Source organism: Homo sapiens, chromosome 1 (assembly GCF_000001405.40).
Source record: "Homo sapiens chromosome 1, GRCh38.p14 Primary Assembly".
Classification (NCBI taxonomy): Eukaryota; Metazoa; Chordata; class Mammalia; order Primates; family Hominidae; genus Homo; species Homo sapiens.
In genome coordinates, this window is record NC_000001.11 from 246,696,584 (window position 1) to 246,722,178 (window position 25,595).

Genomic DNA, 25,595 nt, shown 5'->3' on the forward strand with positions numbered 1-25,595 from the left:
GGGCGCCGCCTCTTGCTCGCAGCGCAGGGGAACGAGCCTCACCTTTGACCTTGTCTCAGCAGCGCCACCTCGTGGTTTCCAAAAGGAACAGCATCATGCTGGGCGCAGGGGCCCTGCCCTGCGGTGACTGAAAGGCGTGTGTGTGTGTGTGTGTGTGTGTGTGTGTGTGTGTGTGTGTAGGCGTGTGTGTGTGTGTGTGTGTGTGTGTGTGTGTGTCTGTGTGTGTGTGGTGAGGAGGGCCCTGCGCCTTGCCTGTCAGCTTTATGGAGGTGCCCCAGCTCGCTGGAGGAAAAGAATGCTGACCAGTGGCCCGAAAGGATTTTCCCGAATCCACTGGGAATGGGAAGGATCCTGTCAAAAATCCAAAGGGAAATGATACAACCAGGAAGCCTTGGTGCCCTTACAGGAACAGACAAGCCCCTTTCCCACGCTGTCATGTGGCATGAGGACACTCTCACAACCACAGTCACACACCCGGGAGCCCTGCCTGGCTTCAGCTGCCCGACATCCCTCGGGAGTCAGAGCAGAGGCGCACACGGAGGGCTCCGGCCTCCAGAGCGTGGCCCAGCGGCCGCAGGGGAAGGGGCAGAAATAAGCCACCTTCTCTCCAGAACGCTGAGCAGCTCAGGAAGCCGCTCGGGAAAGCACCTCTCTGATCCAGCCCCGAAGGCAGTGCCTTCTTTCTGCCCCTGCTGGGTCAAGGTTTTCTCAGCCACACCCTAATCCAATCGGTATTCGCAATCCAACTATCACATGTTTGTTAGGGGTTTTTTGTTGTTGGTTTAAATCTTTCTTTTTTTTTTTTTTTTAAGAGATGAGGTCGGCCGGGCGCCATGGCTCATGCCTGTAATCCCAGCACTTTGGGAGGCTGAGGTGGACGGATCACAAGGTCAGGAGTTGGAGACCAGCCTGGCCAGTATGGTGAAACCCCATTTCTACTAAAAATACAAAAATTAGCCGGGCGTGGTGGTGCACACCTGTAGTCCCAACTACTCGGGAGGCTAAGGCAGGAGAATCGCTTGAACCCAGGAGGCAGAGGTTGCAGTGAACCGAGATCACGCCACTGCACTCCAACCTGGGTGACAGAGAGACTCCATCTGAAAAAAAAAAAAAAAAGAGAGAGAGAGATGAGGTCTCGCTCTGTCCCCCAGGCTGCAGTGCGCTGGTACAATCACTGCAGCCTCGAGCTCCTGGCCTATGTGATCCTCCCGCCTCAGCCTCCTGAGTACCTGGGACCACAGGCACTGCCACCATGCCTGGCTCTCTTATCCTTATTTAATTCCTGTAAACAAATAGATATCAGCAGTCTAATTTGGATGGCTTTGGTCTCAAGAGAGCTAGTAAATGTGTTTGATAGTGCTTACCCAGATATTCCCACTGAACATCAGTTTCCCTGCCTTGATTCTAGCGTGCATTCCTGGGGAGACAGAGGACGTTGCAGTAAACCGGTCTGGTAGAATTGTGTGAGCCAAGGAGGATGGCAGTCCCACTCGTCACTGTGCCTACCTACATGATGCTCCTGCTGGGTGTTCAGAACTCATTCTTACCCAAAGGGCTAGATGATGGTGCAAACATTTCTTTCTTTCTTCCTTTTTTTGAGACGGACTCTTGCTCTGTCACCCAGGCATGATCTTGGCTCACTGCATCCTCTGCCTCCTGGGTTCAGGCAATTCTCCTGCCTCAGCCTCCTGAGTAGCTGGAATTACAAGCGTGTGCCACCATGCCCGGCTAAATTTTGTATTTTTTGTAGAGACGGGGTTTCACCACGTTGGCCAGGCTGGTCTCAAACTTCTTGCCTCGAGTGATCCTCCTGCCTCGGCCTCCCAATGTGCTGGGATTACAGGCGTGAGCCACCGCGCCGGCTGCAAATATTTCTTTACTGATTCCTTAGGTAACCCTTCACCTGTGCTTAGACCACCAAGGGTGGGCACCAGGAAACCCCATCTTCCTTTCCCACTCATTCAGTCTCCACTCTCCCAGCTTCCCTCCCACAGCCTTCTGTGTTTCATTTGCCTTGGACCCACAGATACCTCAGGGAGGAGCACCACGAAGGCAAACCAACCTCTTTCATATCAACATCCATTGCCACCTGTTAGTAAGTGTCAAATGGTGTTCTGCATGCTAGAAGATCTCCCTCCCACGGGGTGCCTGTGAGCCTCCTGCTATAGGAGACAGAATTCTGTATGGCCCATCCAGGGAGGAGCAACCGAAGGAAAAACAGCAACTGTGGTTCTCTGTGCCTATATTGGATTATGTCCCATAGATGCCCCTTACATCTTCTAATGAGGGAGTGGCTAGTGGGGCTCCTATTTGCTAGATGTTTCTGCTGCTGGGCTAAAAACCGCTTAGGTGGCCGGGCGGGGTGGCTCACGCCTCTAATCCCTGCACTTTGGGAGCCGAAGTGGGAGGATTACTTGAGTTTAGGAGTTTGAGACCAGCCTGGGCAACATAGTGAGACCCCCATCTCTACAAAATGAATAAGTAGAGTTTAAATTAAAAAGAGAAAAAGAAACATGCTTAATCTACTTCTGAGAATGATCTCAGGAAGAGAGTGAAACAGATGGGCTCGGTCTCCTGAGGGAGACAAACAGGGCTTCAAGCAGGGCTTAGGCTGGGGACGCTGTGTGGAGCAGAGTCACTGGCTATTTATAGCCCAAACAGTAAGAAGAGTCGTTATGAAAATGCCCAGAGGTGCTTTGATCCGGGAAGTACACAAGCCAATCAAAATACGCCGCCTTCGGGCAAGAGGAGCCGGAGAGCGCCATCTAGTGACCCCACAAGTTCCCTTCCTGAAGGAAGTATTCAGTCCGGAGAAACCAAGACCCACCTCACAGCGAGGACCAGAGAGACACCTTGGTAAGAGGCCCTGGAAACGAAACACAAAGCGAGGAAGGACAGTGCACGGGCCTCAGACGCGAAAAACAGGGGTCGGAGTGCCCATCCTACAGGTTGTTTGATAATTAAATGAGATATTTCCTTTTTATATGAAATGTTTTATGTTCATAAAGATGACAACTAAATAATCTTCATTAACTTAGGAATCCAGCCCTTACTATGTGACACAGTGTGTGCCAATGTATTTATCATTTTGTTTTATGAGTTGTATCTTTTTTTTTTTTTTTTTTGAGACAGGGTCTCACTTTGTCACCGAGGCTGGAGTGCAGTGACACAATCTCGGCTCACTGCAACCTCTACTTCCCAGGCTCAAGTGATTCTCCTGCCTCAGCCTCCTGAGTAGCTGGGACTACAGGCGTGCGCCACCACGCCCAGTTGATTTTTTGTATTTGTTTTGTTTTGTTTTGTTTTGTTTTAGTAGATATGGGGTTTTGCCGTGTTGGCCAGGCTTGTCTCGAACTCCTGAGCTCAGGTGATCTGCCTGCCTCGGCCTCCAAAGTGCTGGGATTACAGGCGTGAACCACGGCGTCTGGCCAACTTGTATCATTTTTGTTATTATAGAATATTTATTTGAAATGTTCTAGTTTGCAGTAATTTGTGGGAGTTTTGTTCTTACTAGGACTTAGGAAAGATATTGCATAAACCACTGCTATTGGGTTCACAGAAAATATAGGAAAAAAAGAATAACAACTATTTTGGGGTTTTTTTGGTTGGGGGTGGTTTGAGACAGGGTCTTGTCGTCGCCCAGGCTGGGGTGCCGTGGCGCCATCACGGCACTCAAACTCCTGGGCTCACTGCAACCTCAAACTCCTGGGCTCAATCAATCTTCCCACCTTAGCCTCCTGAGTAGCTGGGACCGCAGGTGCCTGCCACCACGTCTGGCTAATTTATTTATTTTTGTAGAGATGGGGTTTCACCATGTTGCTCAGGCTGGTCTCAAACTCCTGGGCTCAAGTAATTCTCCCACCTTGGCCTCTCAAAGTGCTGGAATTACTGGCATAAGCCACTGCACCTGGCTCAATAAGAACTATTATGGAAATGACATTTACATTTGTATATGTGCCAGATGTATATGAAATAGAATGAAAAAAGGCCCAAACCCAGCATAACGCACCGTTTCCTGGAATATTAATACATGCCAGGCAGCCTAAAGGTATGTCTCGTGGCAAGCCTGGGTCTGGATGAAACAAAACCTGGATTCCTCACAGTTCTGCATAGATTCTTGGAAGGCAGAGATGAGAGTCACTATCAGGCAACCAAAATATAGTTTTCTCTTATGACTTCGAGTCACCTCACTTATGGAATTTGGAAACTTACATGTGCAGATGACAGTTGGCAACAGCAGAGTGTGTCTCACAGCTAGATGTGGGTGTGTAATTAGCTGGAGGCCATACATGATTAAATCAATATGTTTCATTAGATGTCACATGTTAATCCTCCTTACTCATTTTGAGAATATTTTAATTTTCATAATAAATTATTCTGATTATAGCCGGGTGCGGTGGCTCATGCCTGTAATCCCAGCACTTTGGGAGGCTGAGGCGGGTGGATCACGAGGTCAGGAGATCAAGACCATCCTGGCTAACATGGTGAAACCCCGTCTCTACTAAATGTACAAAAAATTAGCCGGGTGTGGTGGCCGGCGCCTGTAGTCCCAGCTACTTGGGAGGCTGAGGCAGGAGAATGGCGTGAACCCGGGAGACGGAGCTTGCAGTGAGCCGAGATTGCACCACTGCACTCCAGCCTGGGCAACAGAGCGAGATTCTGTCTCAAAAAAAAAAAAAAGAGGATATCCAAATGACCAAAAGACATAAGAAAATGTGATCTATATCATTAGTTACCAGGTAAACACACATTAAAAGTGCAATGAAATATCATTACATAACAACTCAAAAATTAAAAGGATGGGGAATACCAAGTGTTGATGATGTTAGGGAGCAACTGGAACTTTCTCTCATCAGTTACTAGTTGAAGTGTTAACCGAAGCAGCCACTTTTGAAAACTGCTTAGCAGGATCTACCAGAGCTAAACATACACCTACCCTTTACTCTGGCAATTTCACTCCTAGGTATAAATCCAAGAGAAATGAGTACACTTGAGTAGTAAGCCTTGTGTATGAGAAAGTTCAGAGCAGCCTTATTCATAATAGTAAAGCTAGAAGTGTCCCAATTAGCTATCAGCAGCAGAATAAAAACTAAACTGCTCACACGTGTAATCCCAGCACTTTGGGAGGCCGAGGCGGGTGGATCACAAGGTCAGGAGATCAAGACCATCCTGGCCAACATAGTGAAACCCCATCTCTACTAAAGATACAAAAAAAAAATTAGTCGGGCGTGGTGGCGGGCGCCTGTAGTCCCAGCTACTTGGGAGGCTGAGGCAGGAGGATGGCGTGAACCCAGGAGGCGGAGCTTGCAGTGAGCCGAGATCGCACCACTGCACTCCAGCCTGGGCGACAGAGCAAGACTCTGTCTCAAAAAAAAAAACAAAAATCAAAAAACAAAAAGCAAACAAACAAAAAACTAAACTGGCCAGGCACAGTGGCTCATGCCTATACTCCGACCAATTTGGGAGGCCAAAGTGGGTGGATAACTTGAGGTCAGGAGTTTGAGACCAGCCTGGCCAACATGGTGAAACCCCATCTCTACCAAAAATACAAAAATAAGTTGAGTGTGGTGGTGCATACCTGTAGTCCCAGCTACTCGGGAGGCTGAGGCAGGAAAATCACTTGAACCCGGGAGGCGGAGATTGCAGTGAGCTAAGATTGCGCCATTGCACTCCAGCCGGGGAAACAGAGTGAGACTCCATCTCACAAAGAAAAAAAAAAAGGAAAAAAAGAATAAAAATTTAACTAAAAACTATATTCATATGGCATAGTGTTATACAGCAATAAAAATAAGGAATTACTGATATATGCAGCAATATGGATGAATCTTAGACATTATGCTGAATGAAAGAAACCAGATACAAAAAGAGTGCATACCAAATGATTCCTTTCTTTTCTTGAGACAGAGTCTCGCTCTGTTGCCCAGGCTGGAGTGCAGTGGCACGATCTTGGCTCACTGCGAGCTCCGCCTCCCAGGTTCAAGTGATTCTCCTGCCTCAGCCTCCCGAGTAGCTGGGATTACAGGGATGTGCCACCTCACCTGGCTAATTTTTGTATCTTTAGTAGAGATGGGGTTTCACCACGTTGGCCAGGCTGGTCTCAAACTCCCGACTTTAGGTGATCCACTCACCTCGGCCTCCCAAAGTGCTGGGATTACAGGTGTGAGCCACTGCACCTGGCTGAATGATTCCTTTTATATGAAGTTCAATAAATCAGAATAGTGGTTACCCCTGGAGAGGATGGTGCTGAATGAAAAGGAGTACAGGGAAATCCTCTGGTGCTGGGAACATCCTGTATCTTGATCTGAGTGGTGGTTGCAGGGTGCGTATATATATTAAAATTCAATGATTTCTACATTTCAGGGTAATGTATTTTAAAACTTTATTATATTTATTTTATACCTCAATAAAGAAGAAAAAAAGAATACAGATGCTAACTTGAAGGGAATACTAGTGGCCAAAGATGGGACAATTTGAATATCAAGAAAAATTTTGACTGTGATGTATTGAAACATATTAAACAAATAAAAACCCATTAGTTTATAATGATTCTAAAAATATTACTTGATCTGTTATCATCTTGAAAATTGGTAAAAAGAAAAAATCAGGTATTTTTTCCTGTTTTTCCTTAGCAGTAATATTTCAGAGTAAACAAATAGTTGATGAAGAAATTATTTTCCCAACTTCCAGCTGATAAATACAGAAGGAACAATAGAATTAGAAAACTGCTGGCTGGGTGCGGTGGCTCACACCTGTAATCCCAGCACTTTGGGAGGCTGAGGTGGGTGGATCACCTGAGGTCAGGTATTCGAGACCAGCCTGGCCAACATGGTGAAACCCCATCTCTACTGAAAATACAAAAATTAGCTGGGCATGGTGGCACGCGCCTGTAATCCCAGCTACTCAGGAGGCTGAGGCAGAAGAATCGTTTGAACCCGGGAGGCAGAGGTTGTAGCGTAGCAAGCCGAGATCACGCCACTGCACTCCAGCCTGGGCAACAGAGCGAGACTCCTTCTCTACATAAATAAATAAAAAAGCCTGGCACAGCATGTCTGGGCTGAAATCAAGTTGCGGACCAGGCTGAGTTCCCATCTGGAGGCTCCGGGCAAAATCTGCTTTAAAACTCATTCTTGTCGTTGGCAGAATTCAGTTCCTTGTGGTTGCAAGACCCAGGTTTCCTGGTTTCCTCGCTGGCTGTCAGCCAGGAGCTGCTTCAGCTCCGAGAGGCTCCCTGCACTCCCGGCCCTGGGGTTTCCTGTATCTTTAAGCCATCAAAGACACATTGAGCCCTTCTTGAAATTCACATTTCTGGCTTCCTCCGTCTTGATCTCTAGACCAGGATTTAAATGGCTAGGCCCATTTGAGTAATCTCTCAAATTTCAGATAAATTTATTTGAGACCTTAACTACATCTGTGAAATTCCTCGTCGTTGAAGGTCACATAGCCACAGGAGCGGCAGCTCTTCACATTCACAGGCTCTACCTACATTTACGGGAAGGAAGTGACACAAGGACAAGGGTCGTTTGGGGATCACCTTAGAATAGTTCCTACTAAAATCACCAATGCAGGCGGTGGCTCACACTTGTAATCCCAGCACTTTGAGAGGCCAAGGTGGGTGGATTGCTTGAGGTCAGGAGTTTGAGACCAGCCTGGCTACCATGGCGAAACCCCATCTCTACTAAAAACACAATAATCAGCCAGGCATGGCGGTGCACACCGTAATCCCAGCTACACGGGAAGTTGAGGCAGGAGAATCGCTTGAACCTGGGGGGTGGAGGTTGCAGTGAGCCAAGACTGCACCACTGCTCCAGCCTGGGCGACAAGAGCAAGACTGTTAAAAAAAAAAAAAAAAATCACCAATGTAGTATTCTTGCTGAATTTTTAAACCTGGATCCAATTCTGAGGATACAGTCAGACAAATCCAGATTGTGTGACATTCTACATGTCAACTGGCCTGAACTCTTCAAAAATGTCAGTCATAAAAGATTTTTTTAAAAGAGGTTACTCTTCCAGATTCCAGGAGGTTAAAGAGACATGACAACCAAATGTATAATCCTCGATTGAAGATTGAAGCCTGGATTTTAAAAAATATTATGAGACATTTTCAAGACAATTTGAAATGTGAATATATTCCAGCTATTAGTTCATATTATTGTAACAATGTTACATTTCTTCAGTGTGATAATGGTGCTATGATTATGTAGGAGAATGTCTTTGTTCTCAAGAAATAAGTGAATGCTAGAAAATTTTAGGGGCGAAGGTCAGTATATTTGCAACTTTTAAATGGTTCAGAAAAAAATATATGTATGGAGATAGAGAAAAACAGTGGCAAAATGTTAACAATTAGTGAATTAAGAAGAGCATATGGGTATTTATTGTATTATTATCATTTTTTAATCTTTCTGTGGACTTGGAGATTTTTTTTTTTTTTTTTTTTGAGATGGGGTCTTGCTCTGTCATCCAGGCTGGAGTACAGTGGCATGATCATAGCTTACTGCAGCCTTGAACTCCTGGGCTCAAGTGATCCTCCCCTCTCAGTCTCCTGAGTAGCTGGGACTACAGGTGTGCACCACCACTCCTGGCTAATTTTCCTATTTTTCTGTAGAGTCAGGATCTCATTATGTTGCCCAGGCTAGTCTCAAACTCCTGGGCTCAGGTGATCCTTCTGCCTCAGCCTCCCAAAGTGTTGAGATGGCAGGCGTGAATGTGCCTGACCTGACTCGAAGATTTTTTAAAAAATAAATCTCAAAGAGAAAAAGAATGTGGTGTAAAACCATCTTAATGGTAAACTTATTTTCCCTTTCTCTGTTTTTTTCTATAGTGAGGCCGTACTGAAAGAATGTGATGTAAAACCGTCTTAGTGGTAAACTTATTTTCCATCTCTCTGGTTCTTTCTATAGTGAGGCAGTACTGAAAGAATGTAGCAAGTGAGTTGAGCAATTTCAGACATTCAGACAACGCCCAAATATCTTGTGGGAAATCTTTTCTGCCCATAAACATAAGTCAGAATCTATTTTCTGGAAGGCTAAATAACCAATTACTTATTGCTATGATTCATAAGTAAAGAAAGACACTACTTTCCCTCCCCCATTATCAAAACATGATCTAGTAAAAAAGTTTGGAAACTCTATTTGTTCACCAAGATTTTGCTTCCCCAGACCTTTATGTTTGCAATGGCCATAGAAGTAGTTCAGGTTCACGTACTGATATATACAGACAGGCCCAAGCCATACTTCAATAAACGTACCATAGATGTGAAATACAGGATAGAGAGCAAGAGCTTTTGGCACGGTAATCTTAGATGTGGAAATTTACTCTAATACGATTATTAAGAAGGAAAAGTTATATAAGAATATGTATAGTGAGCCAGGCGCGGTGGCTCACGCCTCTAATCCCAGCACTTTGGGAGGCCGAGGCGGGCGGATCACAAGGTCAGGAGATTGAGACCATCCTGGCCAACATGGTGAAACCCCGTCTCTACTAAAATTCAAAAAATTAGCCAGGCATGGTGGCATGCACCTGTAATCCCAGCTACTTGGGAGGCTGAGGCAGGAGAATCGCTTGAACCTGGGAGGCAGAGATTACAGGAGGTTGCAGTGAGCCGAGATCACACCACTGCACTCCAGCCTGGAGACAAAGCAAGAGTCCGTCTTAAAAAAAAAAAAAAGTGACAAATTGGAAAAGGTCTAAATGTACATCTGTAGGGAAGTACTTAAATTATGTCTACCAGTACTATGTGGATTTTTTTCGTTAATTTGAATATAATGTGAAATCAGAAAAAAATGGCCATCAAATAATGTTAAGGATATTTATTAAGTGCACCAAAACATTATATTCTATACCTTAAACATATACAATTTAAAAACGTTAAGGACCCAGCCAGAGCAATTGGCAAGAGAAAGAAATAAAGGGTATCCAAATTGGAAATGAGGAATCAAATGGCCTATTTGCAGACAATATGATCTTTGCAGTTGATCCTTAAACAACGCAGGTTTGAACTTCACAGATCTACTTATACGTAAACTTTCTTCCATCTCCATCTCTGCTGCCCTTGAGACAGCAAGACCAACCCCACCTGTTCCTCCTCAGCCTACTCAGCCTGGTCCCAGGTACTTGGGAGGCTGAGGTGGGAGGATCACTTGAGCTTGGGGACGTGGAGGTTAAAGTGAGCTGAGTTTGCACCACCATTTACAATAGCTACAAAAATAAAAATACCTAGAAATAAATTTAACCAAGGAGGTGAAAGATATCTATCAGGAAAACTTTAACACAGAGATGAAAAAAATTGAAGGAGACACACACACACACACACACACACACACACACACACACACAGGAAAAAAAAGGGAAAGAAATAGAAATAGAAAAAAAAAAGTCACCTAGCAGAGGCTTGCAAAGGTGCAGATTGCCCTCAGGGATTTGGTAGATACCAGTCCTCCTGCCCCTGGCTGCAGTGCAGAATGTACAGGAATGGGGAAGGTCAGGGAGGATTTCATTCCAGGGCTTTAACCTTCCACTTCTCCAGCCTTTCTCCCTCCACCCAAAAAAAGATTGAAAAAGCTAAGAATAAAAGGTAGAACACCAAATTGTATTCACATTATACTTTTAAACATGTATAAACGATGAGCACGTGTGAATAAAGATCAGAAAGACCCAAAAATAATTGTAAATCTTTGGTGGGATTGTGGGCATAAGTCTTTTGATAATTAGAAGTTTTACTATTACTGTTTCCTCCGCCATGCTAAAAATCCACGTGATCAGGAACTATCTTGTTCATCTTTGCAATACCAGGGCCTACTTCAGGCTTGAGATGTTTATTTAAGAAATGAGTGGAGAAATGAATGAATGTATGAATAAGATGTTTTAAAATTAAATAACATTTTTTAAAGGAGATTTTCTTTTCTTTCTTTCTTTTTTTTTTTTTTTTGGAGATGCAATCTCGCTCTGTCACCCAGGCTGGAGTGCAGCGGTGTGATCTTGGCTCACTGCAACCTCCACCTCCCGGGTTCAAGCGATTCTCCTGCCTCAGCCTCCCAAGTAGCTGGGATTACTGTGAGTCCATTGGAAATGCACAATGAATATTGTGTCTGACTGCCCATCCTACCAGGAAACTGATAGTGTGATGTGGTTTCGAGTTTCCTCATAGGCAAGTGTTTCAAAATTTGGTCTTTGTAACACAGGCCCAAAGGTTGATTGAAGAGCTTGCTTTCACTATAGCTTAATAAAATGAATCCTCTACCTCTGGCCAAAATAGCAGTGTCTAAAATGAATTTGCTTCCTAACATAGTAGGCACTGAGTGTCACACAAGGTTAATTTGTGTGTGTGTGTTTCAAAACTATCATGCTCGTTGAAAATTAAACACAGCAGCATAAAAACATCAATACAATACTCTGTGGATGGGTGCTGGCCTCCCTTGGGCATTGGCAGGAAGGTTCACATTGTTTGGTGAAGACAGTCTTTTGAGAAATTTCTGGTAAATTTTTGTGCATATTGGAAGATTAAATTAAATTTTGCTTCATAGGATCCTGTCCTTACATTTTTTTAAAATTTAGAAAGAGCTAAATTGGGAAAGATGATCATGATTCTTCAGGTCATTATTTGAAGATGGTATTGCTTGACCAAATTATACCACTTATATCATGATGTACACTAATTTCACAAGTGAATATTATTACTGCTTAAATATATGTGTGCTTTGCTAGATTTTTATAAAACAGACTCTTGTTATCAGGCCTTATTATCTTTTTACCCACAAGGAAGCCAAGAAACCAGAGTTGAGTAACTTGGCTGTACCAAAATGAATCATTGATGGGGGGAATCAGGAAGATAGATTCCCTACTCTATTAAATCAATTTTTAATTTTTTAGAGATTTTTGGGAGGGAGCGGTGACTCAAGCCTGAAATCCCAGCACTTTGAGAGGCCGAGGCGGGCGGATCACTTGAGGTCAGGCATTCGAGACCAGCCTGGCCAACGTGGTGAAACCCCATCTCTACTAAAAATACAAAACTTAGCCGTGCGTCGTGGTGTGCACCTGTAATCCCAGCTACTTGGGAGGCCAAGACATGAGAATTGCTTGAACCTGGGAGGCAGAGGTTGCAGTGAGCTGAGATTGCACTACTGCACTCCAGCCTGGGCACCAGAGCGAGACTCCATCCCAAAAAATAAAAATAAAAAATAAAAGAGATTTTTGCAAGCTTCTGGTTTCCACAAAGTCCTTGATTTCTCTCTTTCCTCCTCCCTCCCTCCCTCCTTCCCTGCTTCCCTCCTTCTCTCCTTCCTTCCTTCCTTCCTTCCTGTAGTTTGCTGATAAGTATTTAACAATCCACTCTCTGGGGGGATAAACATGATTTGTAGAGTGTGTCAGAGCCCCTGGTGTAAATCCAGCCATGGCTGTAAACCATGTCTGATTTCCAACGGTGCTGAAAATTTAACAGTTGGCTTTCATAAAGGTGGTATGAGTGATTTTTACTTCACCATTGGATGCCTCCCTTATTAAAAATAAAAACATTAAAAATAATAAAGCCCTAGGCTTCTGAGGATTTGCACAAAGAACTTTTAATGACAAATAGATTTTTAGTTTAATAGTAGAAAAAAGGAAAAAATGATACCTAGAAGGGAAAAAAAGGAAAAAAATAGAAGTAGCTGCTTAATTGACAATAAAAGCACTTAGTTTCTGCTGCATACCTAAAAGGTCAGCCTGGACTAACTCCTTTTCGCTGTGCCATTCCAGCATGATGCGCAGAGCTTGGTAGAAGGACCAGGTATTGGGAGGTAGGCCTGTGTTGTACTATTGTGCAACTTTCAGTATGCTGAGACAAAAACATGTTCTAAAATGGGGCAGCTGGCCAAGCATGGTGGCTCACACCTGTAATCCCAGCAGTTTGGGAGGCTGAGGTAGGCATATCATTTGGGGCCAAGAGGTCGAGACCAGCCTGGGCAACATAGTGAGGCCTCGTCTCTACAAATAATTTGAAATTTAACCAGGCATGATGGTGTGCACCTGAGGTTTCAGCTACTCGGGAGGCAGAGGTGGAGGATCACTTGAGCCCTGATGTTGAGGCTGCAGTGAGCTGTGACAGTGCCACTGCACTCCAGCTTGGGTGACAGAGTGAGACTCTGTCTCAAAAAATAATGGTAATAATAAAATAAAATGTGGCAGTACATGATGGAATTTCTGAATTGGATTAGCTACTTTCCTTGCTTTTTGTTTCTTTCTCTTATCTACTAGAGATCAGCAAATAATTCAGGTAATCAAAAGTTGCAAAAAAAAAAAAAAACCATGATTTTTCATAGATGACTCCCCATGACTTCTTCCCTTCACATTTAGCCACAGCTGCCATACCACTTCCTAAGTGTGGCAAGTTCAGCTTCCTTCTCACTTTCAGCTTCAAATGGACTTTTGGACTACCTGGGCGTTCCTTTATTTGTCTCTTTCTGATTTCCTATGTCAAAGATAAACAAGGTGGAAGGACAGATTTTAATCAGTAATATACTATTGCAAAGTGAAAACGAGTCTAGCATGAGCTGAACTCAACTTCTGAACCCAGTCAGAGGTGACTAGGCATTTTAAAGGGAGGATGAGGGAAGAGGGAAGGGTAAGTGAGGGCTCAGGAGAGTCAGGGAAATGAAAAATTACAAAAAGTAGAAGGGGGGTGGTAAATTAGTCCATTCTGTGTTGCTATAAAGGAATACCTGAGACCAGGTAATTTATCAAGAAAAGAGGTTTATTTGACTCATGGTTGATGAGGACCTCGGGAAGTTTACCCTCATGGTAGAAGGTGAAGAGGGGGCAGGCATGTCACATGGCGGGAAGCTTACCATCATGGTGGAAGGCAAAGAGGGAGCAGGCACATCACATGGTGAGAGTGGGGGCAAGAGAGAGAGGAGGCAATACTTGGCTGTCTTAAACAAGTAGCTCCCACATGAACTAATAGAGTGAGAGCTCACTTATTACTATGGGGATGTCACCAGGCCATTCGTGAAGGATCCACTTCCATGACCCAACTGAGAGGTGAAGCCAGCTGGGCTTCTGTGTCAGGCGGGGACCTGGAGAACTTTTCTGTCTAGCTAAAGGATTGTAAACGCACCAATCAGTGCTCTGTGTCTAGCTAAAGGTTTATAAACACACCAATCAGCACTCTGTAAAAACTCACCAATCAGCGCTCTGTGTCTAGCTAAAGGTTTGTAAACGCACCAATCAGCACTCTGTAAAAATGGACCAATCAGCACTCTGTAAAATGGACCAATTGGCACTCTGTAAAATGGACCAATCAGCAGGATGTGGGCAAGGCCAAATAAGGGAATAAAAGCTGGCCACCCAACCCAGCAGAGGCAACCCACTCGGGTCCCCTTCCATGGTGTGGAAGCTTTGTTCTTTTGCTCTTCACAATAAATCTTGCTGCTGCTCACTCTTTGGGTCTGCACTACCTTTATGAGCTGTAACACTCACTGTGAAGGTCTGCAGCTTCACTCCTGAAGTCAGTGAGACCACAGACCCACTGGGAGGAACAAACAACTCTGGACGCACCACCTTTATGAGCTGTAACACTCACCGTGAAGGTCTGCAGCTTCACTGCTGAAGTCCGCAAGACCACGAGCCTACCGGAAGGAACAAACAATTCTGGACACGCCATCTTTAAGAGCTGTAACACTCACTGCAAAGGTCTGTGACTTCACTCCTGAAGTCAGCAAGACCATGAACCCACCAGAAGGAAGAAATTCTGGACACATCTGAACATCTGAAGGAAGAAACTCTGGACACATCATCCTTAAGAACTGTAACACTCACTGCAAGGGTCCGTGGCTTCATTCTTGAAGTCAGCAAGACCAAGAACCCACTGGAAGGAACCAATTCCGGACACACAACCACCTCCCACTAGGCCCCACCTCCAACACTGGGGATCACATTTCAACATGAGATTTGGAGGGGACAGGCATTCAAACTATACTGGGGGACTTGATCAACGTGAAACTTCTCTGGGTTTGCTAACCAACTGGTGCTTTTGGAAGCTAGGCACCTAGCCCCCCAAGGAGGCTGGGCGACAGGGGCCCTGTCTTCAGGTGCTGGCTAGAACAAGCAACAAATTATTGGGGCAGCCTTGAGCTTTCTCTCAGGCAGCTACGTGAAGAGTGTGGGTAGGATCATGCTGGGGGAGGGGAGTTGAGCTGTTAGAAACTGTGTTACTGTTTGTTCAAGTCTTTACAGGCCAAGGATGAGACTCGTGCATAACCAGGCTCAGAGGAGCCTGACTAGAGTTTGGTCATGGAGATGATCTTTGTCACCTGGCTAGAGTTTGGTCATGGAGAGGATCTTTGTCACCTGGCTAGAGTTTGGTCAATGAGAGGATCTTTGTCACCTGGCTAGAGTTTGGTAGAGGAAAGGATCTTTGTCACCTCACTAGAGTTTGGTCAATGAGAGGATCTTTGTCACCTGGCTAGAGTTTGGTCAATGAGAGGATCTTTGTCACCTGGCTAGAGTTTGGTCGAGGAGAGGATCTTTGTCACCTGTCTAGAGTTTGGTCGAGGAGAGGATCTTTGTCACCTGGCTAGAGTTTGGTCAAGGAAAGGATCTTTGTCACCTGGCTAGAGTTTGGTAGAGGAGAGGATCTTTGTCACCTGTCTAGAGTTTGGTCAAGGAGAGGATCTTTGTCACCTGGCTAGAGCTTGGTCAAGGAGAGTGAGAGGTGAAGCTGGCTGGGCTTCTGGGTCGGGTGGGGACTTGGAGAAATTTTCTGTCTAGCTAAAGGATTGTAAATGCACTAATCAGTGTTCTGTGTCTAGCTAAAGGTTTGTAAACACCCCAATCAGCACTCTGTGTCTAGCTAATTGGGTGGGGACTTGGAGAACTTTTCTGTCTAGCTAAAGGATTGTAAATGCACCAATCAGTGCTCTGTGTCTAGCTAAAGGTTTCTAAACACACCAATCAGCACTCTGTAAAAATGCACCAATCAGCACTCTGTGTCTAGCGAAATGTTTGTAAACGCACCAATCAGCACTCTGTAAAAATGGACCAATCAGCACTGTAAAATGGACCAATCAGCACTCTGTAAAATGGACCAATCAGCAGGATGTGGGTGGAGCAAAAGAAAGAAATAAAAGCTGGCCACCCTAGCCAGCAGGGGCAACCCCCTCGGGCACCCTGCCATTCTTTTGCTCTTCGCAATAAATCTTGCTGCTGCTCAATCTTTGGGTCCACACTACCTTTATGAGCTGTAACACTCACCGTGAAGGTCTGCAGCTTCACTCCTGAAGCCAGCTGAGATCACGAACCCACCAGGAGGAAAGAACAACTTCAGATGCACCACCTTTAAGAGCTGTAACACTCACTGTGAAGGTCTGTGGCTTCACTCCTGAAGTCAGTGAGACCACGAACACACCAGAAGGAAGAAACTCTGGACACATCTGAACATCTGAAGGAACAAACTCTGGACAGACCATCTTTAAGAACTTTACCACTCACTGCAAGTGTCCGCGGCTTCATTCTTGAAGTCAGCAAGACCAAGAACCCACCAGAAGGAACCAATTCCAGACAAAGAAGATCTTTGTCACCTGGCTAGAGCTTGGTCCAGGAGAGGATCTTTGTCACCTGCCTAGAGCTTGGTTGAGGAGAGGATCTTTGTCACCTGGCTAGAGCTTGGTCGAGGAGAGGATCTTTGTCACCTGGCTAGAGCTTGGTCGAGGAGAGGATCTTTGTCACCTGGCTAGAGCTTGGTCGAGGAGAGGATCTTTGTCACCTGGCTAGAGCTTGGTCGAGGAGAGGATCTTTGTCACCTGGCTAGAGCTTGGTCCAGGAGAGGATCTTTGTCAGCTGGCTAGAGCTTGGTCGAGGAGAGGATCTTTGTCACCTGGCTAGAGCTTGGTCGAGGAGAGGATTTTTGTCACCTGGCTAGAGCTTGGTCCAGGAGAGGATCTTTGTCACCTGGCTAGAGCTTGGGCGAGGAGAGGATCTTTGTCACTTGGCTAGAGCTTGGTCCAGGAGAGGATCTTTGTCACCTGGCTAGAGCTTGGACGAGGAGAGGATCTTTGTCACCTGGCTAGAGCTTGGTCGAGGAGAGGATCTTTGTCACCTGGCTAGAGTTTGGTTGAGGAGAGGATCTTTGTCACCTAGGAAATAGTTACAACTGATGTTGCAGGCATTCTTCTATCTTCTCGTGCCCCTAGTCCTACCCTTCACCCTCGAGCTTCAGAACACCCAGCTTTTGACTTTGTGAAGGTGGTGGCTAAGAGCCTGTCCATAAGCCAACCTTGTCTTCTTTTGGAGGAGAAGGGGGTCTTCCCTTTTTCTTGGCACTAACTTTGGTGCAGAAATCAAGCTGTCTGCTGGCCCCTGGAGAGAATGAATTCCTTGGAAATCCTTTAGATGAAGAATTGCTTCAAGAAGGGCTAGACCTGGGACTGCTCTACACAAAAGCAAATTGTTCCAAGATTCCTGTCCCAGTAAGTTGGTTTTTCCTGCTCTTGAGCTTTAGAGGAAACGAATGACACAGATGTTCTCTGTTTGGCTTTCTGCTCGGATTAGTGTTTGTGGGATTCATTCATATTGTTGTATGTTATGATGGACAAAAAAATTAAGTTCCCTGGAAGCAACAGGAACATGGCCTCAGTGTCAGAACTGCCGATGGTGGGGTGTGATTCCCACAGTTGCCCCTCGGGCCCTTCTGAAAATCAGCCCTTGCTCCTTTAAAAAACTTACTATTATAAATTATAAAATAATTATTGTATAAATTATTGTTAAAAAGTTTGAACAATATAGAAAGGGATGCTTACTCATTGCTAGCACAGCAGTCTGAGATCGAACTGCAAAGCAGCAGCGAGGCTGGGGGGTGGCGCCCGCCATTGCCAAGGCTTGAATAGGTAAACAAAGCGGCTGGGAAGCTCGAACTGGGTGGAGCCCACCGCAGCTCAACTTTGGCGAATCTGACAATTATGTGTCTTGGAGTTGCTCTTCTCGAGGAGTATCTTTGTGGTGTTCTCTATATTTCCTGAATTTGAATGTTGGCCTGCCTTGCTAGATTGGGGAAGTTCTCCTGGATAATATCCTGCAGAGTGTTTTCCAACTTGGCTCAATTCTCCCTGTCACTTTCAGGTATATCAATCAGACATAGATTTGGTCTTTTCACATAGTCCCATATTTCTTACAGAGGCCTGCCTGCCTCTGTAGACCCCACCTCTGAGGGCAGGGAATAGCCAAACAAAAGGCAGCAGAATCCTCTGCAGACTTAAATGTCGCTGTCTGACAGCTTTGAAGAGAGTAGTGGTTCTCCCAGCACGCAGCTGGAGATCTGAGAATGGACACACTGCCTCCTCAAGTGGGTCCCTGACCCCCGAGTAGCTTAACTGGGTGGCACCCCCCAGTAGGGGCAGACTGACACCTCACACGGCCGGGTACTCCTCTGAGACAAAACTTCCAGAGGAACGATCAGGCAGCAACATTTGCTGCTCACCAATATCCGCTGTTCTGCAGCCTCCGCTGCTGATACCCAGGCCAACAGGGTCTGGAGTGGACCTCCAGCAAACTCCAACAGACCTGCAGCTGAGGGTCCTGACTGTTAGAAGGAAAACTAACAAACAGAAAGGACATCCACACCAAAACCCCATCTGTACGTCACCATCATCAAAGACCAAAGGTAGATAAAACCACAAAGATGGGGAAAAAACAGAGCAGAAAAACTGGAAACTCTAAAAATCAGAGCACCTCTCTTCCTCCAAAGGAGTGCAGCTCCTCACCAGCAATGGAACAAAGCTGGATGGAGAATGACTTTGACAAATAGAGAGAAGAAGGCTTCAGACGATCAAACTACTCCAAGCTAAAGGAGGAAGTTCGAACCCATGGCAAAGAAGTTAGAAACCTTGAAAAAAAATTAGATGAATGGCTAACTAGAATAAGCAATGCAGAGAAGTCCTTAGAGGACCTGATGGAGCTGAAAACCAAGGCATGAGAACTATGTGACGAATCCACAAGCCTCAGTAGCTCATTTGATCAACTGGAAGAAAGAGTATCAGTGATGGAAGATCAAATGAATGGAATGAAGCAAGAAGAGAAGTTTAGAGAAAAAAGAATTAAAAGAAATGAACAAAGCCTCCAAGAAATATGGGACTATGTGAAAAGACCAAATCTATGTCTGATTGATATACCTGAAAGTGACAGGGAGAATTGAGCCAAGTTGGAAAACACTCTGCAGGATATTATCCAGGAGAACTTCCCCAATCTAGCAAGGCAGGCCAACATCCAAATTCAGGAAATACAGAGAACACCACAAAGATACTCCTCGAGAAGAGCAACTCCAAGACACATAATTGTCAGATTCACCAAAGTTGAAATGAAGGAAAAAATGTTAAGGGCAGCCAGAGAGAAAGCTCGGGTTACCCACAAAGGGAAGCCCATCAGACTAACAGCTGATCTCTCAGCAGAAACTCTATAAGCCAGAAGAGAGTGGGGGGCCAATATTCAACATTCTTAAAGAAAAGAATTTTCAACCCAGAATTTCATATCCAGCCAAACTAAGCTTCATAAGTGAAGGAGAAATAAAATCCTTTACAGACAAGCAAATGCTGAGAGATTTTGTCACCACTAGGCCTGCCCTACAAGAGCTCCTGAGGGAAGCACTAAACATGGAAAGGAACAACCAGTACCAGCCACTGCAAAACCATGCCAAATTGTAAAGACCATCAAGGCTAGGAAGAAACTGCATCAACTAACGAACAAAATAACCAGCTAACATCATAATGACAGGATCAAATTCACACATAACAATATTAACCTTAAATGTAAACAGGCTAAATGCTCCAATTAAAAGACACAGACTGGCAAATTGGATAAAGAGTCAAGACCCATCAGTATGCCGTATTCAGGAAACCCATCTCACATGCAGAGACACACATAGGCTCAAAATAAAGGGATGGAGGAAGATCTACCAAGTAAATGGAAAACAAAAAAAAGCACGGGTTGCAATCCTAGTCTCTGATAAAACAGACTTTAAACCAACAAAGATCAAAAGAGACAAAGAAGGTCATTACATAATGGTAAAGGGATCAATGCAACAAGAAGAGCTAACTATCCTAAATATATATGCACCCAATACAGGAGCACCCAGATTCATAAAGCAAGTCCTTAGAGACCTACAAAGAGACTTAGACTCCCACACAATAATAATGGGAGATTTTAACACCCCACTGTCAACATTAGACAGATCAATGAGACAGAAAGTTCACAAGGATACCCAGGAATTGAACTCAGCTCTGCACCAAGCGGACCTAATAGACATCTACAGAACTCTCCACCCCAAATCAACAGAATATACATTCTTCTCAGCACCACACTGCACTTATTCCAAAATTGACCTCATAGTTGGAAGTAAAGCACTCCTCAGCAAATGTAAAAGAACAGAAATTATAACAAACTGTCTCTCAGACCACAGTGCAATCAAACTAGAACTCAGGATTAAGAAACTCACTCAAAACCACTCAACTACATGGAAACTGAACAACCTGCTCCTGAATGACTACTGGGTACATAACGAAATGAAGGCAGAAATAAAGATGTTCTTTGAAACCAACGAGAACAAAGACACAACATACCAGAATCTCTGGGACACATTCAAAGCAGTGTGTAGAGGGAAATTTACAGCACTAAATGCCCACAAGAGAAAGCAGGAAAGATCTAAAATTGACACCCTAATATCACAATTCAAGGAACTAGAGAAGTAAGAGCAAACACATTCAAAAGCTAGGAGAAGGCAAGAAATAACTAAGATCGAGCAGAACTGAAGGAAATAGACACACAAAAAACCCTTCAAAAAATCAATGAATCCAGGAGCTGGTTTTTTGAAAAGATCAACAAAATTGATAAACCACTAGCAAGATTAATAAAGAAGAAAAGAGAGAAGGATCAAATAGACGCAATAAAAAATGATAAAGGGGATATCACCACCAATCCCACAGAAATACAAACTACCATCAGAGAATGCTATAAACACCTCTACACAAATAAACTAGAAAATCTAGAAGAAATGGATAAATTCCTCGACACATACACTCTTCCAAGACTAAACTAGGAAGAAGTTGAATCTCTGAATAGACCAATAACAGGCTCTGAAATTGAGGCAATAATTAATAGCTTACCAACCAAAAAAAGTCCAGGACCAGACAGATTCACAGCCAAATTCTACCAGAGGTACAAGGAGGAGCTGGTACCATTCCTTCTGAAACTATTCCAATCAATAGAAAAAGAGGGAATCCTCTCTAACTCATTTTATGGGGCCAGCATCATCCTCATACCAAAGCCTGGCAGAGATACAACAAAAAATGAGAATTTTAGACCAATATCCCTGATGAACATCAATGCAAATATCCTCAATAAAATACTGGCAAACTGAATCCAGCAGCACATCAAAAAGCTTATCCACCATGATCAAGTGGGCTTCATCCCTGGGATGCAAGGCTGGTTCAACATATGCAAATCAATAAACGTAATCCAGCATATAAACAGAACCAACGACAAAAACCATGTGATTATCTCAATAGATGCAGAAAAGGCCTTGACAAAATTCAACAACACTGCATGCTAAAAACTCTCAATAAATTAGGTATTGATGGGACTTATCTCAAAATAATAAGAGCTATCTATGACAAACCCACAGCCAATATCATACTGAATGGGCAAATACTGGAAGCATTCCCTTTGAAAACTGGCAAAAGAGAGGGATGCCCTCTCTCACCACTCCTATTCAACATAGTGTTGGAAGTTCTGGCCAGGGCAATCAGGCAGGAGAAGGAAATAAAGGGTATTCAATTAGGAAAAGAGGAAGTCAAATTGTCCCTGTTTGCAGATGACATGATTATATATCTAGAAAACCCCATCGTCTCAGCCCCAAATCTCCTTAAGCTGATAAGCAACTTCAGCAAAGTCTCAGGATACAAAATCAATGTGCAAAAATCACAAGCATTCCTATATACCAATAACAGACAAACAGAGAGCCAAATCATGAGTGAACTCCCATTCACAATTGCTTCAAAGAGAATAAAATACCTAGGAATCCAACTTACAAGGGACATGAAGGACCTCTTCAAGGAGGACTACAAACCACTGCTCAATGAAATAAAAGAGGACACAAACAAATGGAAGAACATTCCATGCTCATGGGTAGGAAGAATCAATATCGTGAAAAATGCCATACTGCCCAAGGTAATTTACCGATTCAATGCTATCCCCATCAAGCTACCAATGACTTTCTTCACAGAATTGGAAAAAACTACTTTAAAGTTCATATGGAACCAAAAAAGAGCCCGCATTGCCAAGTCCATCCTAAGCCAAAAGAACAAAGCTGGAGGCATCATGCTACCTGACTTCAAACTATACTAGAAAGCTACAGTAACCAAAACAGCATGGTACTGGTACCAAAACAGAGATATAGACCAACGGAACAGAACAGAGCCCTCAGAAATAATGCCACATATCTACAACTATCTGATCTTTGACAAACCTGAAAAAAAGAAGAAATGGGGAAACGATTCCCTATTTAATAAATGGTGCTGGGAAAACTGGCTAGCCATAGGTAGAAAGCTGAAACTGGATCCCTTCCTTACACCTTAAACAAAAATTAATTCACGATGGATTAAAGACTTAAATGTTAGACCTAAAGCCATAAAAACCCTAGAAGAAAACCTAGGCAATACCATTCAGGACATAGGCGTGGGCAAGGACTTCATGTCCAAAACACGAAAAGCAATGGCAACAAAAGACAAAATTGACAAATGGGATCTAATTAAACTAAAGAGCTTCTGCACAGCAAAAGAAACTACCATCAGAGTGAACAGGCAACCTACAAAATGGGAGAAAATTTTCGCAACCTACTCATCTGACAAAGGGCTAATAACCAGAATCTACAATGAACTCAAACAAATTTACAAGAAAAAAACAAACAACCCTATCAAAAAGTGGGCGAAGGACATGAACAGACACATCTCAAAAGAAGACATTTATGCAGCCAAAAAACACATGAAAAAATGCTCATCATCACTGGCCATCAGAGAAATGCAAATCAAAACCACAATGAGATACCATCTCACACCAGTTAGAATGGCAATCATTAAAAAGTCAGGAAACAACAGGTGCTGGAGAGGATGTGGAGAAATAGGAACACTTTTACACTGTTGGTGGGACTGTAAACTAGTTCAACCATTGTGGAAGTCAGTGTGGCCATTCCTCAGGGATCTAGAACTAGAAATACCATTTGACCCAGCCATCCCATTACTGGGTATATACCCAAAGGATTATAAATCATGCTGCTATAAAGACACATGCACACGTATGTTTATTGTGGCACTATTCTGTTGCGGGAAGTCAGGGACCCTAAATGGAGGGACTGGCTGAAGCCATGGCAGAAGAACGTGGATTGTGAAGATTTCATGGACATTTATTAGTTCCCTGAATTAATACTTTTATAATTTCTTATGCCTATCTTTACTGCAATCTCTAAACATAAGTTGTGAAGATTTCATGGACACTTATCACTTCCCCAGTCAATACCCTTGTGATTTCCTATGCCTGTCTTTACTTTAATCTCTTAATCCTGTCAGCTGAGGAGGATGTATGTCACCTCAGGACCCTGTAATAATTGCATTAACTGCACAAATTGTACAGCATGTGTGTTTGAGCAATATGAAATGTGGACACCTTGAAAAAACAACAGGATAACAGCAATTGTTCAGGGAATAAGAGAGATAACCTTAAATTCTGAGTGCCGGTGAGCCGGGCAGAACAGAGCCATATTTCTCTTCTTTCAAAAGCAAATGGGAGAAATAACACTGAATTCTTTTTCTCAGCAAGGAACATCCCTGGGAAAGAGAATACGCACCTGGAGGTATAGGCCTATAAACAGCCCCCCCCCAGGTGCACCTGTCTTTTATGGTTGAGACTGCAGGGGATGAAATAGACCCTAGTCTCCCATAGGGCTCCAAGGCTTATTAGGAAGAGGAAATTCCCGCCTAATAAATTTTGGTCAGACCAGTTGATCTCAAAACCCTGTCTCCTGATAAGATGTTATCAATGACAGTGGTGCCCGAAACTTCATTAGCAATTTTAATTTTGCCTCGGTCCTGTGGTCCTGTGATCTCGCCCTGCCTCCATTTGCCTTGTGATGTTCTATTACCTTGTAAAGTACTTGATGTCTGTGACCCACACCTATTCACACACTCCCTCCCCTTTTGAAAATCCCTAATAAAAACTTGCTTGTTTTTGCGGCTTGTGGGGCATCACAGAACCTACTGACATGTGATGTCTCCCCCAGACGCCTGGCTTTAAAATTTCTCTCTTTTGTACTCTGTCCCTTTATTTCTCAAGCTGGCCGACACTTAGGGAAAATAGAAAAGAACCTACGTGAATATCGGGGCAGGTTCCCCAATACTATTCACAATAGCAATTCTTGGAACCAAGCCAAATGTCCAACAATGTTAGACTGGATTAAGAAAATGTGGCATATATACACCATGGAATACTGTGCAGCCATAAAAAGATGATGAGTTCATGTGCTTTGTAGGGACACGGATGAAACTGGAAACCATCATTCTCAGCAAACTATCACAAGGACAAAAAACCAAACACCACGTGTTCTCACTCATAGGTGGGAATTGAACAATGAGAACACATGGACACAGGAAGGGGAACATCATACACCGGGGCCTGTTGTGGGGTGGGAGGAAGGGGGAGGGATAGCATTAGGAGATATACCTAATGTTAAATGATGAGTTAATGGGTGCAGCACACCAACATGGCACATGTATACATATGTAACTAACCTGCACGTTGTGCACATGTACCCTAAAACTTAAAGTATAATAAAAAAAAGATTTATCATGTATTCTTAACATTTTGTGTGCATATACATACATTGTTTTGTCTTAAATATACTCTTGTAATGTTAGGAAATTTGGAAGATTTTCCGTGTCACTATACACAGTTTTGTTTTGTTTTTTTTTTTTTAGAAACATAGCCTTGCTCTGTTGCCCAGGCTGCAGTGCAGTAGTGTGATCATGATTTACTGTAACCTCGAACTCCTGGGCTCAAGCAATCTTCCCACCTCAGCCTCCCAGGTAGCTAGGACTACAGATGCACATCACCACACCCAGCTAATTAAAAAAAAAAATTTTTTTTTTTTTTTTTTTTTTTTTTAAGAAATGGGGTCTTGCTACATTGCCTAGGCTGGTCTCAAACTTCTGGACTCAAGTGATCCTCCTGCCTTGGCTTCCCAAACTGCTGGGATTACAGGCGTGAGCCACTGTGCCCAGCCTACTTCATTCTTTTGTTTTTGTTGTTGTTGTGTGTTTTTTACCTAGAACCACCTGAATAGTCATTCTTCATTCTTTATAGCTGCACAGTTCCTATTGAATGAATAGGACACCATAATTTATTTAATAATTCCTCTGATAAAGGACATTTCAGTTATTTCTACTTTTTGTTATTACAAAGCAATGCTGCAATGACCATTATGTTAGTCCATTTTTGCGTTGCTTTAAAGGAATGCCTGAGGCTGGTTAATTTATAAAGAAAAAAGTTTATATTTTGGCTCATGGTTCTGCAGGAAGTACATCAAGTGTAGT

The 25,595-nt window shown here is 43.8% G+C and overlaps 1 annotated feature.

The window, feature by feature from the left end:
• Positions 2,468-2,897: an enhancer, noted in NCBI's record as "active region_2858". NCBI's record gives its function as "activates an Ori minimal core promoter by ATAC-STARR-seq in GM12878 lymphoblastoid cells {active_cell/tissue: GM12878}" and the evidence as "EXISTENCE:reporter gene assay evidence [ECO:0000049][PMID:35858748]".